This window comes from Homo sapiens, chromosome 12, assembly GCF_000001405.40.
Source record: "Homo sapiens chromosome 12, GRCh38.p14 Primary Assembly".
NCBI classification, from domain to species: domain Eukaryota; kingdom Metazoa; phylum Chordata; class Mammalia; order Primates; family Hominidae; genus Homo; species Homo sapiens.
Window position 1 is genome coordinate 106,167,253 of NC_000012.12, and position 15,998 is coordinate 106,183,250.

At 41.5% G+C, this 15,998-nt stretch overlaps 1 pseudogene; it reads left to right on the top strand.

Annotated features, from left to right (window-relative positions):
- The first annotated feature begins 2,990 nt into the window (after positions 1 to 2,990).
- LOC341378 (thyroid hormone receptor interactor 11 pseudogene) lies at positions 2,991 to 5,382 on the top strand (annotated as a pseudogene).
- Positions 5,383 to 15,998: the final 10,616 nt, after the last annotated feature.

A 15,998-nucleotide genomic window follows, 5' to 3' on the forward strand; every position in this document is an offset into this window, starting at 1 on the left:
GCTTCATCCCTGGGATGCAAGGCTGGTTCAACATATGCAAATCAATAAATGTAATCCATCGTATAAACAGAACCAATGACAAAAAACACATGATTATCTCAATAGATGCAGAAAAGGCCTTCCATAAAATTCAACACCCCTTCATGCTAAAAACTCTCAATAAACTAGGTATTGATGGAACATATCTCAAAATAATAAGAGCTATTTATGACAAAATTATAGCCAATATCATACTGAATAGGCAAAAGCTGGAAGTATTCCCTTTGAAAACTGGCACAAGACAAGGATGCCCTCTCTCACCACTCCTGTTCAACATAGTATTGGAAGTTCTGGCCAGGGCAATCAGGCAAGAGAAAGAAATAAAGCATATTCAAATAGGAAGAGAGGAAGTCAAATTGTCCCTGTTTGCAGATGACATGATTGTATATTTAGAAAACCCCATCATCTTAGCCCACAATCTCCTTAAGCTGATAAGAAACTTCAGCAAAGCCTCAGGATACAAAATCAATGTACAAAAATTACAAACATTGCTATACACCAATAATAAGACAAACAGAGAGCCAAATAATGAGTGAACTCCCATTCACAATTACAACAAAGAGAATAAAATACCTAGGAATACAACTTACTAGGGATGTGAAGGACCTTTTCAAGGAAAACTACAAACCACTGCTCAAAGAAATAAGAGAGGACACAAACAAATGGAAAAAAAATTTCATGCTCATGGATAGGAGGAATTAATATTGTGAAAATTGTCATACTAACCAAACTAATTTACAGATTCACTGCTATTCCCATCAAGCTACCATTGACTTCCTTCATAGAGTTAGAAAAAACTACTTTAAATTTCATATGAAACCAAAAAAGAGCCCATATGGCCAAGACAATCCTAAGCAAAAAGAACAAAACTGGAGGCATCATGCTACCTGACTTCAAACTATACTACAAGGCTACAGTAACCAAAACAGCATGGTACTGCTACCAAAACAGATACATAGACCAATGGAACAGAAGAGAGGCCTCAGAAATAACACCATACATCTACAACCATATGATCTTTGACAAACCTGACAAAAACAAGCAATGGGGAAAGGATTCCCTATTTAATAAATGGTGCTGGGAAAACTGGCTAGCCATATGCAGAAAACAGAAACTGAACCTCTTCCTTACACCTTTTACAAAAAATAACTCAAGATGAATTAAAGACTGAAACTTAAAACCTAAAACCATAAAAACCCTAGAAGAAAACCTGGGCAATACCATTCAGGACATAGGCACGGGCAAAGACTTCGTGACTGAAATACCAAAAGCAATTGCAACAAAAGCCAAAATCGACAAGTGAGATCTAATCAAACTAATGAGTTTCTGCACAGCAAGAGAAACTATCATCAGAGTGAACAGGCAACCTACAGAATGGGAGAAAATTTTTGCCATCTATCCATCTGACAAAGGTCTAATATCCAGAATCTACAAGGAACTTAAACAAATTTACAAGAAAAATACAACCCCATCAAAAAGTGGACAAAGGATATGAACAAACACTTCTCAAAAGAAGACATTTATGTGGCCAACAAACGTATGAAAAAAAGCTCATCATCACTGGTCATTAGATAAATGCAAGTCAAAACCACAATGAGATACCATCTCACGCTCGTGAGAATGGTGATCATCAAAAAGTCAGGAAACAACAGATGCTAGAGAGGGTGTGGAGAAATAGGAACGCTTTTACACTGTTGGTGGGAGTGTAAATGAGTTCAATCATTGTGGAGGACAGTGTGGTGATTCCTCAAGGATCTAGAAGCAGAAATACCATTTGACCCAGTAATCCCATTACTGGGTATATACCCAAAGGATTATAAATCATTTCACTATAAAGACACATCAACATGTATGTTTATTGTGGCACTATTCACAATAGCAAAGACTTGGAACCAACCCAAATGCCCATCAATGATAGACTAGATAAAGAAAATGTGGCATATATACACCATGGAATACTATGCAGCCATAAAAAAGGATTAGTTCATGTCCTTTGCAGGGACATGACTGAAGCTGGAAACCACCATTCTCAGCAAACTAACACAGGAACAGAAAACCAAACACCACATGTCCTCACTCATAAGTGGGAGTTGAACAATGAGAACACATGGACACAGGGAGGGGAACGTCACACACCGGGGCCTGTGGGGGAGTTGGGGGAAGGGGAGGGAGAACATTAGGACAAATACCTAATGTATGCTGGGCTGAACACGTAGATGACAAGTTGACGGGTGCAGCAAACCACCATGGCACATGTAAACCTATGTAATAAACCTGCACGTTCTGCACATGTATCCCAGAACTTAAAGTTAAAAAAAAAAAAGAAAGAATTGTTGGCAGAATTGTTGGCAGGTGTCATGGGAGCGGTGTCAAGTTGGCAGGAGTTGCCCATGGAACTGGAGAAACTCACTAGAGCAGATGAAGAAGTGACCCAATCTGGACGACGGGAATTCATGGGAATGAACAGAAGCCCTGCATGGGTGACTATGTCACTAGAGGCGGGCACCTGGTAAAGTCCCAGGCTAGGCCTCTGCGTTTCTAAGCAGAACTAGGAGCAGGCGTTGCCTGGGAACCCCGCCTTATGTTATCGAATCCTGAGTGTTTTGGACTAGTCTCGTGAAGGCAGGCATTCAAGGATATTTGGTCGGATCATCCGACGGCACTAAACCTTTTTTTTCCAAGTGGACCAGGTAGTTCACTAAAGTCGCCGTGATGTCGTCCTGGCTTGGGAGCCTCGGCTCCAGATGGGGCCAGTCTCTGGGTCAAGTCGGGGGCAGCCTGGCTTCCCTCACTGGCCAGATTTCAAACTTTACAAAGGTTATGCTGATGGAGGGCTCAGAGGAAGTGGAAGCAGAATTACCTGATTCCAGGACAAAGGAAATTGAAGCCATTCATTCAATCTTGAGATCAGAGAATGAAAGGCTTAAGAAACTTTGTACAGATCTAGAAGTGAAATATGAAGCATCAGAGCTTCAAATAAACCAGCATTCTACAATGCTGTTTATTAATGCTTTTTAACGTTTAAAAAGCATTCTACAATGCTTTTTGTTGAAGTTGAAATCAACTTCAACAAAAAGAGGTAGAAATCAGACATCTTAAAGCCAGACAGATTGCCTCCAGGATCAGTTGCTGAAACTGCGGTCAGCTGCTCAGTCAGTACCTTCAGCAGCTGGCGATGTACCAGCAACCACTGCAGCTTCATTCATTTATGTGATTAGTCATCATTCTTCAGCTTTCCATGATGATGACATGGACTTTGAGGACACAATTTTGTCCCAACAAGAAATAAACCGACTCTTAAATGAAGTTTCAAGGCTTGAGTCTGAAGTTGGCTATTGGAGGCATATTGCTTAGACTTTGAAAGCATGAGGAACACATAGCTCTGCCCAAAGTAAAACATGCAAACTACAAAATATCATTAAGGAACTGAAACAGAACCAAAGTCAGGAAATTGATGACCATCAACATGAAATATCAGTACTGCACAATGCACATCAACAGAAATAAGTCAACGACATCGAGAAGAATTAAGTGACTATGAAGAACGAACTGAAGAACTCAAAAATCTGTTACAATAAGGTAGCTCTGGAGTTACAGAAATTGATCACTCTAAAGTCTATGAGATGCAAAAAAACTATTCAACTTCTACAAACAGAAAAAGTGGAGTCTACCAAAAAAATTGAGGAACTTGAGGATAAAATAAAAGATATAAATAAAAAATTATCTTCTGCAGAAAATGGTAGAGATATTTTGAGGAGAGAACAAGAACAGCTAAATGTGGAAAAGAAACAGCTTTTAAATGCAGTTAAATCAGTGCAGGAGAAGACAGTTGTATTTCAACAGGAGAGACCAAGTCATGTTGGCCCTGAAACAAAAACAAATGGAAAACACTGCCCTACAGAGAGAGGTTCAATGTTTACGTGACTAAGAATTTCAGTCAAACCAGAAGCTAGAGAGACTGCGTAATCATCTTTTAGAATCAGAAGGTTCTTATACCAGTGAAGCTTTGGCCTCAGAACATAGAGAGGCTAAACTAAGAAAGAAAGTCACAGTATTGGAGGAAAAGCTAGTTTCATCCTCTAATGCAATGGAAAATGCAAGTCATCAAGCCAGTGTGCAGGTAGAGTCATTGCAAGAACAATTGAATGTAGTCTCCAAGCAAAGGGATGAAACTGCGCTGCTTTCTGCCTCTCAGCAACAAGTAAAGCAGTATGCTCTGTCACTGGCCAACCTGCAGATGGTACTACAGCATTTCCAAAAAGAGGAAAAATCTATGTATTCTGCTGAACTACAAAAGCAAAAACAGCTTATAGCTGAATGGAAGAAAAAGGCAGAAAGTTTGGAAAGAAAAGTGATATCATTACAGGAACGTTTGGATGAAGCAGATGCTGCATTGGATTCAGCATCAAGACTTACAGAACAGTTAGATCTAAAAGAAGAACAAATTGAAGAACTTAAAAAACAAAATGAGTTCCAACAAGAAATGCTGGATGATGTACAAAAGAAATTGGTGAACTTAGCAAACAGCCTAGAAGGAAAAGTGGACAAAGTCCTAATGAGAAACCTCTTCATCAGTCATTTCCACATGCCAAAAAATCAGCGTCACGAAGTGTTACGGTTGATGGGCAGCATCCTGGGGGTCAGAAGGGAGGAGATGGAGCAGCTGTTTCATGACAATCAGGGCAGTGTTACCAGGTGGATGACTGGGTGGCTTGGAAGAGGATCAAAAAGTGTTCCCAACACACCTTTGAGACCAAATCAGCAATCTGTGCTTAATAGTTCTTTTTCAGAATGTTTTGTTAAATTTCTAGAAACAGAATCTCATTCATCTGTTCCACCACCAAAGCTTTCTGTTCATGATATGAAACCTCTAGAATCACCAGGAAGGAGAAAACTAGACACAAATGCACCAGAAAGTTTTAAAGATACAGCAGAATCCAGGTCAGGTAGAAGACGAGAGGTAAATTCGGTTTTGGCTCCTCGCTCGGCAGCTGTACCTCTTATTAACCCAGCTGGACTTGGACCTGGTGGGCCCCAGCATCTTCTTTTGAAACCCATCTCAGATGTTTGGCCCACATTTACACCTTTGCCAGTGTTACCTGACAACAGCGCTGGAGTTGTGTTGAAAGACCTTGGAAAACAATAGATGATTCTCAAGCCAGAGACAATCTAGCACTTTAAAGAAACCATGAACACTATATGTACTTTATCACAAAGTGGCCTTTTAGAAAACGTCACGTATTTATTTGTAGTTAATGCTTTCTCTGAATTTAATAAAAATATTCCTAATGCTTTTAGAAATTGCAGGTGTCAAGAGGAAGTGTTTGCTATATCATCTGATTTATTCCTTCTGATTTGACTTAATTTAAGCTAGGAACATTTGATTTATCTTTTACCTTAATTTACAAAGATACAGACAGACAAAAATACTAGTAGCTATATGTTAGCTTTCTATTTCCTTCTGTGATTTCCAAGCACATTTAAGCTAGAGATTGTGGTTTGTCAAGAGAGTTTTTTTTTTTTTAATGAAGAATAAAAAAATACTAGTAGTGCCTTCTCTGCATAGTGTGGAAAGTTGATCTGAAGCATATAGTGATCATCTTTGGAGGACTTTGTGGAAACAGGCCAACAAGATGGTCCCTGGAAGGTCATTGGTGCCCTGAGATGAAGTATGTATTTGGTCCTGTGCAATGTCAGCATGTGTGTAAATTCTTTCGTTATTGTTGTTGTTGTTTTAAATAGAGATGGGGTCTCACTATGTTGCCAAGCTGTTGTCAAACTACTGGGCTCAAGTGATCCTCCCACTCGGCCTCCCAAAGTGCTGGGATTACAGGCATGAGCCACTGTGCCCAGCCCTGGGTGTAGATTCTTGTGACTACCACCACAGTCAAGATACAGAACACTTCCATCACAAGCATCCCCTGTGTTGCCCTCTCATAATCATAGCCACCTCCCTGTCCCTCTCCTGAATCCCTGACAATCACTAACTGTTCTCCATCTCAGTCATTTTGTTATTTAGAGAATGTTATATAAATGAAATCAATGTGTAACCTCTTGAGACTGGTATTTTTTCACTCAGCATAACTCCCTTGAGATCCATCCAAGTTTTTGGATGTATCACTAGTTTGTTCCTTTTTATTGTTGGGTATATAATGCAGATATATCACTTAGTTGTAACAGCTAAGATATCTATTTAAAGACATCATCTTAAAACTACATGTTTCTTTACACAAATTCATACAACTTTCATGTAAGTGTTAAACCATACAGCTGCATCTACATAAGTATAATTAGCAATATCACTGAACATGCCACTTCCTGATATATGAGGTACAGCAATCTGAGACTCAACTGCTCTCATCACAGTAGCGACTGAGGGCAGTGAATTTGCTTTGATAGCACCAGTACCCAGATGTCTGAAACTGAAGAGAGTATTTCTTTAATTTTTTATAAACCCATCATAAAAAAATCCTGACTTGAAACTTAACTGTATCTGGATGTTCACATTTTTATTAGTTGTTGAAGTTGTACATTTAAAAAGACATTTCTTGCAAATTTTGTAAATTTCTATATGCCTTTAAAATAGAAACATTTGTGTAACAAACAAAGGTGAAAATGAGACAAATTCAAATATGTAAATAGGCGTGGCTCAGGCCAGAACTAAATTCGGTTGTTTGCAAGTTTTGCTGTGATTAACTGTACTTTCTAATATATTTGGAAGACTAGAAGTCTTATTTAGACGTTGATGGGTGAAACTTGTTTTTCTGAAAAATGAAGTAACTGAGAATGCTGCTTCAGAATGTCTCCTATCTCCTTGGATAACTAATTTATATTGCCATTCTTTATTTAGTATACTTTAAAGGAAGTGGTCATACAAGTTCTGTATTAGAACTGTCAAGCTGCCTCCTCTTGGTTTTTTGCCCATTATTATTTCTCTATGAGTTGTTTACCCCTTGCTTTTTTGGGAGGGTTTTTTGTTTTTTGTTTTTGAGATGGAATTTCATTCTTGTCACCCAGGCTGGGGTGCAATGGCATGATCCCGGCTTACTGCAACCTCCACCTCCCGGGTTCAAGAGATTCTCCTGCCTCAGCCTCCCAAGTAGCTGGGATTACAGGTGTGTGCCACCATACCAGGCTAATTTTTGTATTTTTAGTAGAGACAGGGTTTCGCCATGTTGGCCAGGCTGGTCTCAAACTCCTGACCTCAAGGGATCCACCTGCCTCAGCCTCCCAGAGTGCTGTGATTACAGGCATGAGCCACTGCACCCGGCCTACTCCTTGGTTTTTATATACTCCTAACAAAGATACTTTCACTGACTATTCTACATTATTTGCTGCTTGCCATTGAAGTTTCATTTCAGTGTGGAGCAAATGAAATACTAGTTTCTAAGTTAAACACACACACACACGGTCCTTTATTTTTAAGAAATAGAATATGTAAAAAGTTTTCTCTTTTAATTTGAAAAAGATATGCATGGTATTTAGGTAGTATGTCATCATACTTGAAATGCCTTTTGTGACATTTTTTAGTATTTCCTTCTCCGACCAAAACAACCTGTCCCCGTCTCATCCCATAGTTTAACATAATTTTAAAAGCTGTTGTGGGTGGATAGCATAGCTAAACATCACAGAGCATGATATTAAATGGCTGCTATTTAAATAAGTATGTGACCTTGTCCTACAGCTATACTACCTAATGTTTCCATTGTGTCATTGAAACTCTAGCTGACTGGTATGCATACTTAGTGTTCGCTGATCTAAACCAGATATAACATATCGATTTTTCTGAAACTTAGTTGTGTCAGAGATGAACCACCTGCTCACAGAACCGTCTTAGTAACGAGACAGTGATGAAGCATATAATTCTAATGTTGGCAAGAGGACATTGCTAACAGTGCGTTTAACTGCAACATTTTAACTACAGTCATTTTTCTGTTTATTTCTCTATCCACTCAGAATTTGTGGTTGAATTCCACCTTCTCTGCCATAGTTTTTCACCACATTCCTAATGGTTTTCAACCTCTATACTGTAGTAGAAAATTCATCCAGCCATTGAATTTAATTTTAGCATAATACTGGATCAAATTGTCTGAATTTTCATTCCTGCCATTCTTGATTTTTAAAAAATGAAAGGAAGAAAAAACAAAACTAAACAAAACCTTAGGAAAAAAGGAATGGCTTCTTTCCAACTAGCCAATTTAAACGTCCAATATTCCCCCAAATAAAGCCTTTGGTTCCTTTTACCCTCTTAATGGTTAATTGAAAAGAGTACAGAAACTATCAAAATACTTATCCAATCAATAGATGGGGGGGAAAGCTATGTCTTCAGGGACAGAAGAGTAACAAGAATTATTTAGAAAATGCTATCACGCATCAAACTTGAAAGCATTTGAACCTGATTTTTAAATATCAAGTAAGGATAGGTGATATTTATTTTATATATTCCTATGGAAAAAAATGCTACTTTAATGTTCTGACATTTGTGATTATTTGCCAGTCTTTATCTTTTAACTTATTAAAAAGTTAAATACTTATTAAGATTTCGCTACATAAAACTGATAAATTGTCTTTTGATTTTTAGTGAAATATCTAAATGTGGGAAATTTCCAATCCAACCTTAATATTAAGTTGTGTTATTTATAGAGCTAAAGTTAATGCATTTTTTAATTTCTCAGGACCACTGCAAGGTGAAAAAATACTCCAAATAAAAATGATATATGTAAGTTGGCAATGTCTTCATTCACAATCAAAAAAAAAATTTTAGCAAACAAAAGAAGAATTGTTGACATAGCTACCTACCATGTGCCAGGAACTGTTCCAAACACTTTGCACATATTCAGTCATCTAACTCTCCTAACTACCATTGCTACCATTGCAAAATGAGGAAACTGAGCCTTGGAGAGGTAAAGTAACAGCTCAAACTCACACAGCTGCTGAGTGGCCCAGCCAGCACTCAGTGGCCTGGTTCTAAAGCCTGCACTTGCTGCTATTCTAGACGGCGTCTGATTTTTCCCTAGAATTTATAGACAGATATACATGACAGGTAGGTAGGTAGATAGATAGATAGATAGATAGATATAGAGAGAGAGATAGAGAAAGATGGGGGAGGGGCTTTTTCTCCACTCCTGACTTTTATTTACAGTCTTTCCCCTCTTATTTGTGGGGAATACCTTCCTGTGGATGGTGCCAAACTCTATATATGCAGTACTATGTTTTTCCTATATATACATACCTATGATGAAGTTTAACTTATAAATCAGGCACAGTTAAGAGCTTAACCACAATAATTAAAAATAAAATTGAACAATTGTAAAATATACTATAATAAGGGTTGTGTGAATGTGGTGTGTCTCTTTCTTCTCTCTCTCTCAAAATACCTTCTTGTTCTGCACTCACCCTTCTCGTGAAGACAGGAGATGATAAAATGCCTACATGATGAGATGAAGTAAGGCGAATGACACAGGCATCATGACGTAGCATTAGACTGCTATTGACCTTCTGACCATATGTCAGAATCATTTATTTCTGGAACTGTGGTTGGTGTAAGTGAAATCATGGAAAGCAAACCCACAGATAAAGGGGGCTTTCTCTACCTGTGGAGTAGTGCCATAGTTGGCCTCTGTCTCCCACTCCTTATTTTTTTTTTGTATTTTTTTATTTTTTGAGACAGAGTCTCACTCTGTTGCTGGGCTGGAGTGCAGTGGTGCGGTCTTGGCTTACTGCAGCCTCCGCCTCCCAGGTTCAAGTGATTCTCCTGCCTCAGCCTCCCGAGTAGCTGGGATTACAGGCACGTGCCACCACGCCTGGCTAATTTTTGTATTTTTAGTAGAGACAGGGTTTCACCGTGTTGGCCAGGATGGTCTCGATTTCTTAACCTTGTGGTCCGCCCACCTCCACCTCCCAAAGTGCTGGGATTACAGGCGTGAGCCACCGTGCCCCGCCTGTCTCCCATCCTAATGGTGGAGTAGCGCTCCACCATTGCCTCCTCACCCACTCCTCCAGGGAAGGGAAGACTCTGTTGTCTATTCATTTATCCCTGCCCCGCCAGTCCATTCTCTGTTCTTTCTCTGGTCCTAGAAGGCTGACCCCTGGGGACTGCATCCCCTGGGCTCCCCTCACCTCTGGCTTTCTGTTGGGCACAGTCCGTGGGAAGCACCAGCAAAGACCAGAGGGTGAGAAGTGCAGTTTCCGTGTCCTCCTGTGGCCATGGATCTTACCCTGTAGCCCTTTCCGTGGCCACAGCCTCTCCAAATCTCCTTGCATTCCTAGGAGAGGTGAGTCTTCCAGCTGTGGGTAGTCTTAGAGTGTCACCATTGTTTGCTCCTGAACCCTGGCCAGGCCTCCGCAATGCTCCCTTCTCTTCACTTGGATATGTCCCACCAGCTCTTCACACTCTCAAGAGGTTCAGACTTAGAATAGCCTTTTAACAGAGAATGGACTGGCAGGGCAGGGATAAATGAATAGACAGCAGAGTCTTCCTTTCCCTGGAGGAGAGGGTGAGAGGCGACGGTGGGGCGCTGCTCCGCCATTAGGGTGGGAAGAGGCTATTTTTTGTCAGACGCTATTTTTTCAAAGAAATCCCTTTGTGGGAAGGCAGAGCCAACAGAGGGAGCAAGTTTAGGGGTCAGGTAGTGCTCCTCTTTTCCCCTGAAATCACACAAGAATGAGGAGGGCTTTCCCTGACTTTGCAAAGACTCCCTCCCCAAGCTCTCTCACGGCCGTCATAGCCACTGAGCACCAGCTGTGCACTCTGGCCGGGGCCAACTTGAAGCCTTAAGCATAAAACCCTTAAGAGGCCTTCCACGCCCCAGAAATGGCCAGAAGGAGCACCTGGCCCTCTGCCTGGGCCCCTGTTCCCAGCAGCTCCTGATCCCAGGTGCAGTGCCCCCCAAAAACCCTTACCCCACATCTGTGAGAGGAGTCAAAGGCAGGTGAAATTCTGAGGAGAACCTGGATTTCCCAGGCTGCCTCGGTGAAGTTAGAAGTCAGGTCAAGACCATCAGGTGAGAAGGGCAAGTGCCCCCTCACCCAGGCAGGGGCCAGGCCCACAGAGCCGTCCGACTGTCACCACAGTATGGGTAGAAAAGTTTGTTTTCCATAACCCAAGTCCTCGCTTCTATACTCTCTCCCGTCACCGCACCCCACCACACCCCCAAATGTTTTGTTTGATCCTCTCTCAGGACCTGCTGGAATCCCGAGGCGCTCAGGCAGAGCGGATGGAAAAGTGTCACTGCTCCCAGGGGTATGCACATTCTAAACAGTGAAATCCTAGAGAGGCATCCCCAAAGAGGGGCATTAATGGAGGAATTTCAGGCAGTGGTTGGGGCAGTCTTGAAGGCAGAAATCAGACCCTAATCAACTTTCTCTTGCATTTCAAAGCCGGTTAGCCAGGGTCAGCCAGGTCACTGACTGTGGCTGCTTCTGCAGAGAATCTCCTCTGACAGAATCTCCTCTGTCCACACCAGAGGGAGAACCAGTCACTGAGATGTGAAATTGGATCCAATCCTTCCCCCGCTTCCCACCTCAGCTGAGGCCCTCAGGTAGCTGCGGTCAACAGCCTCTGCGGGTTGGTAAACAGCCCCGGGCCTAGAGGTTAGAAGTCCTTAGTTCTGTTACTAGCTGTCTTCTAATTTTCTGCATGATGTTAGGCAGGATACTAAGCGTCTCTGGACTTTGTGTCATGATTAGCAACATGAAGATTAGTTGGATTAGATGGTTCTAAGGTCCCTACAACTGCAATATGCTATGATCCCCCTTCCCCTCCACACCTGGCCAAAAGAAAGCATATCTAGATAAGGCAGAGAAAGTGGCTCAGCTCAGTCCAGAGGCTTCTGGGAACTGCAATAAGCCTGCAGCTCACATTTGGTCAACTGTGGCCAGCTGTCTTTGGGACTGAGAGTTTCTCTTCCCAGGTCAACCAAAGGTTGAGGCCTAGATAAAAGGCTTGCCCCATGCTCAGCTAGTTGAGTTGCTCAGCCCGTATCCAGGATTAACCAAGGCTTCTCACTGGCTCTCTGGTTTCAAAACAAAACAGAACTTTGAAATAGGACTGCACTCAGTGGAAAATCCCACATTAACAAGGCCCCTGGGAGTGCTCTGGAAGCACCATCTGTCAAGTATTTGTTCGCACAACCTGTGACCAAAACAGCCTTTTAACGTCATTACCAATAATGATAATAGCACCTCATGTATTTAGACAGCTCTTCTGACCCTTCAGAACCCCTCATCTGGGCTCAATTTGGCCTCGTGAAACTTTCTATAGGAGGCAGAGCACAGGACTTTCAAATAACTTAGTCCTGTTTTAGGCATGAGGAAATTGAAACCCAGAAAGATAGCAGAGCTAGGAAGAAATACACTCATTCCTTCATTCACTCCTGAACATTCAGATGAGCAATAAATGTCTTATAGGCAGGTGGTTACATTGCGCCTGATCTGGAGTCACACAGACCTTTGTTCAAATCTTGGCTCTGCCTCTTATCACCTATGCACTATGCATCTCAGGCAAATGGCTTTATCATCTAAGCCTCAGTTTCCTCATATGTAAAAATTTGGGATTTATTATGCATCCATCAAATGGTTATTGTGAGGATGAAATGAAATCACTGATGCCAAGCACAGTCCCTGACTTACAGAAACACTCAATTAACAGTAGCTTTAAAAATCTGACCTGGTCATGGCAGTAAACACACTGATGGGTACTTAAGGGCCTATTAAATGCTGTTGACCACTGGACACGTGCTCCCACAATGGCCCTCTCTCCAAGAACCTTGACCCAAGCTAGGCCAATTGGATTTTGTTTTGCTAAAATTTGTAATTGCTACTCAGGAATTCCAGTCCTTGTGGCCAGGCACGGTGGCTCACATCTGTAATTCCAGAACTTTGGGAGGCCAAAGTGGGAGGATTACTTTAGCCCAGGAGTTCAGGACCAGCCTGGACAACATAGTGAGACCCCCATCTCTACAAAAAAAAAAAAAGAAAAAAAAGAAATTCCAGTTCTTTACTGTTGCCTCTTGGAGCAAGCTGACAGATAAGAGCTGAAGCGGCCACTGTATGTCCTGTGTCCACAGAAGTGGGGGAAGACTGTGGGAAGAGGGAAAGATGAAAACAGGCAGAATGAGGAGCGGAGATAAGAGGCCACAGGGTCTGGGGGAGAAGTGGGGAAGGAGGAAAGAGAGCATGCACGTGCACCCTTAGTTTTCATAAGCCACACCAGGATCCTCCCAATAAGCCCCACTTTCTGCTAAGTCTGATCTAAGACATCTGTTCTTTTGGATCTCTCCTAGGCTCACGGATTCTTCTCATATCCCATCTGATACAAGCATCCTAGCTGCTCCTTCCACAGATGAAGACATGAGGCTCAGAGTGGTTAAGTGTCTGGTTAAGGGCACACAGCTGGCCAGCATCAGGGTCAGGATTGAAACCCTAATCAGCCTTCCTGTGGAATGGACACAGATCTGGGAGTCAGAAGACTTTTGTTGGAGGAGCAGTTCTTCACTCACCAGCCAGGTGCCCTAATCCAGTCCCTCAATCACAGAGCACTCTGCTTGCCTGTTCTGTACAACAGAGATTAGTGTCCCCTCTTCCATCTCACAGGGTTATTGGATGAAATACTCCATGTGAATGAGCTGTTTAAATTGCAAAACACCATAAATACTAGCCATTATTATGAGTTCATACAGCTTTGTATATCTTTGCCCATTTTACGAGATTTTTTTTTTTTTCTGAGATGGAGTCTTGCTCTGTTGCCCAGGCTGGAGTGCAGTGGCACAATCTTGGCTCACTGCAACCTCCACCTCCTGGGTTCAAATGATTCTCCTGCCTCAGCCTCCCAAGTAGCTGGGATTACAGCTGTGCAACACCACACCCAGCTAATTTTTTTATATTTAGTAGAGATGGGGTTTCACCATGTGGGTCAGGCTGGTTTCGAACTCCTGACCTCAGGTGATCCACCCTCCTCAGCCTCCCAAAATGCTAGGATTACAGGCGTGAGCCACCACACCCAGCCTCTTATGAGATTTTAAAGTTGAAAATCCCATAGATAGGAACCATGTCTACTTGAATGCCCCAAAAGCACCTGGACGTCAGCGTTCCTTGGACAATGTTAAATAACTCCAAATTATTAAAAAAAAAAAAAAAAGCAAGCACATTTACTTTTCTAAAGCAGAGGACATAGATTTCATATAGAGAATAAATATGTTGAGAAATTAGTCATTTTCTTAACTCACGTTCCATATGATTCTTTGGAAAACTTGGATGGCATTTGGGGTGATTCACGGGGAAGAATAATTAATGTGTCTTGTGTAATTTCTTCAAGTAGCTATTAAAAACACAACAGAATAACACGTGTTTTTCCATTCTCTGAAAATGAAGAAATACAGAGCTGTTTTTACTCCAACTTTTCCAAAACAAATCACCTTCTGTGATGAAAAATGTTGCCTTAAGGAGAGAAATTTTCAGGAAAATTATGAGCAAGTGAAAGAAAACAGAGCACCAAATAGAAGTCTTATTTAATGAGAACAAGAACCTCAACCAGCAAGGCTAAGTCACTTCCAGCCTGTGTCACTCAGCTGTCTCTCCTCTCATGAGCACTGGAGCCTGACAGACCTCAGTTCAAATCCAGCCATGCTTGATATTGGCTGAATAACTGCAGAGGTCACTTCGCCTAAGCCTCAGTTTCCTCATCTGTAAAATGGGAGTGAAATGCCTTCCTCATGGGCTTCCGGAAAGATTACATGAGATTATGTACTTAAAGGGGACTATGTTATTATAAACTTTAAATAAGTTTGTCGTTTCTTTGGTAGTACTCAACATGGGTAATCCCAATTAACATATATAACACTACCCGGCAAGGAATACTCTCTTGCTAGCGATGCCTACTGGAAAATTCTAGTCCCTAAAACTGAGATTTTAGGCCCCTCATTCCGGCATCTAACAGGACAGGAATTTGGTTTAAGAAGTAAAATTATTTTGTTTTCTCACTTTATCTATTGTTTGAAATGACATTGTCAAGTGTAAAAGAGGGGAAGGAAACCCACATATTATATGCATGTCACAGGTGCATGTGGTGTGTAAGGTAGGTAAGGTAGAGAGAGGAAGGAGAGAGGAGTAGACTGAGAAAGACAGGAAAAGAGGACTTCAACTTTATCTTCAAATTTTTAAATTTCAGGGGTGTAAAAATAGTTGAAGCAAGTAAAATAAAATGTTAACAGCAATTCAAGGCAGTGAGTACGTGGATGTTTGTTCTGATATTCTCTGTACCTTTTGGCATTTTTCCAATATCAAAATCATTTCCAACTAAACAAATTATTAATGGTCATAACAGTAATGCATTTTTTTATGGAAAGAACTTCATCAATATCCTGACCACCCTAATAATTGGTATAAACTTGTATCCTGTTTCTTTTTCTTGTCTTTATACATGGGTAAAGTCACTACAGAGTATAATGTATAATCCATTTCCATTTAGGAATATGCCAGGGTGGCCGGGTACAGTGGCTCACACCCGCAATCCCAACCCATTGGGAGGCCAAGGCGGGTGGATCTCTTGAGGCCAGGAATTTGAGACCGGCCTGGGCAATTATGACAAAACCTCATCTCTACAAAAAACACAATAATTAGCCAGGCATGGTGATGTGTGCTGTAGTCCCAGCTATTCAGGAGGCTGAGGTGGGAGGATTGCTTGAGCCCAGGAGGTTGACGCTGCAGTGAGACGTGATTGCTCCTCTGCATTCCAGCCTGGGTGACAAAGCAAGACCCCGTCTCAAAAAAAAAAAAAATTGTAATATGCAAGGATGGCAGAGGAGCTGCCCAGGGAATGAGACAGAAATGAGATCACTCACATACAAACAGTTTGACACCTACAGCCTCAAGTCTAGTCAGCTTCAGGGATTGTTGTTATTTTTTTGACCAGCTTGGTTTTTAAGTTTGCAAGCTCCCCATCATAACAGAATATCTTCCTG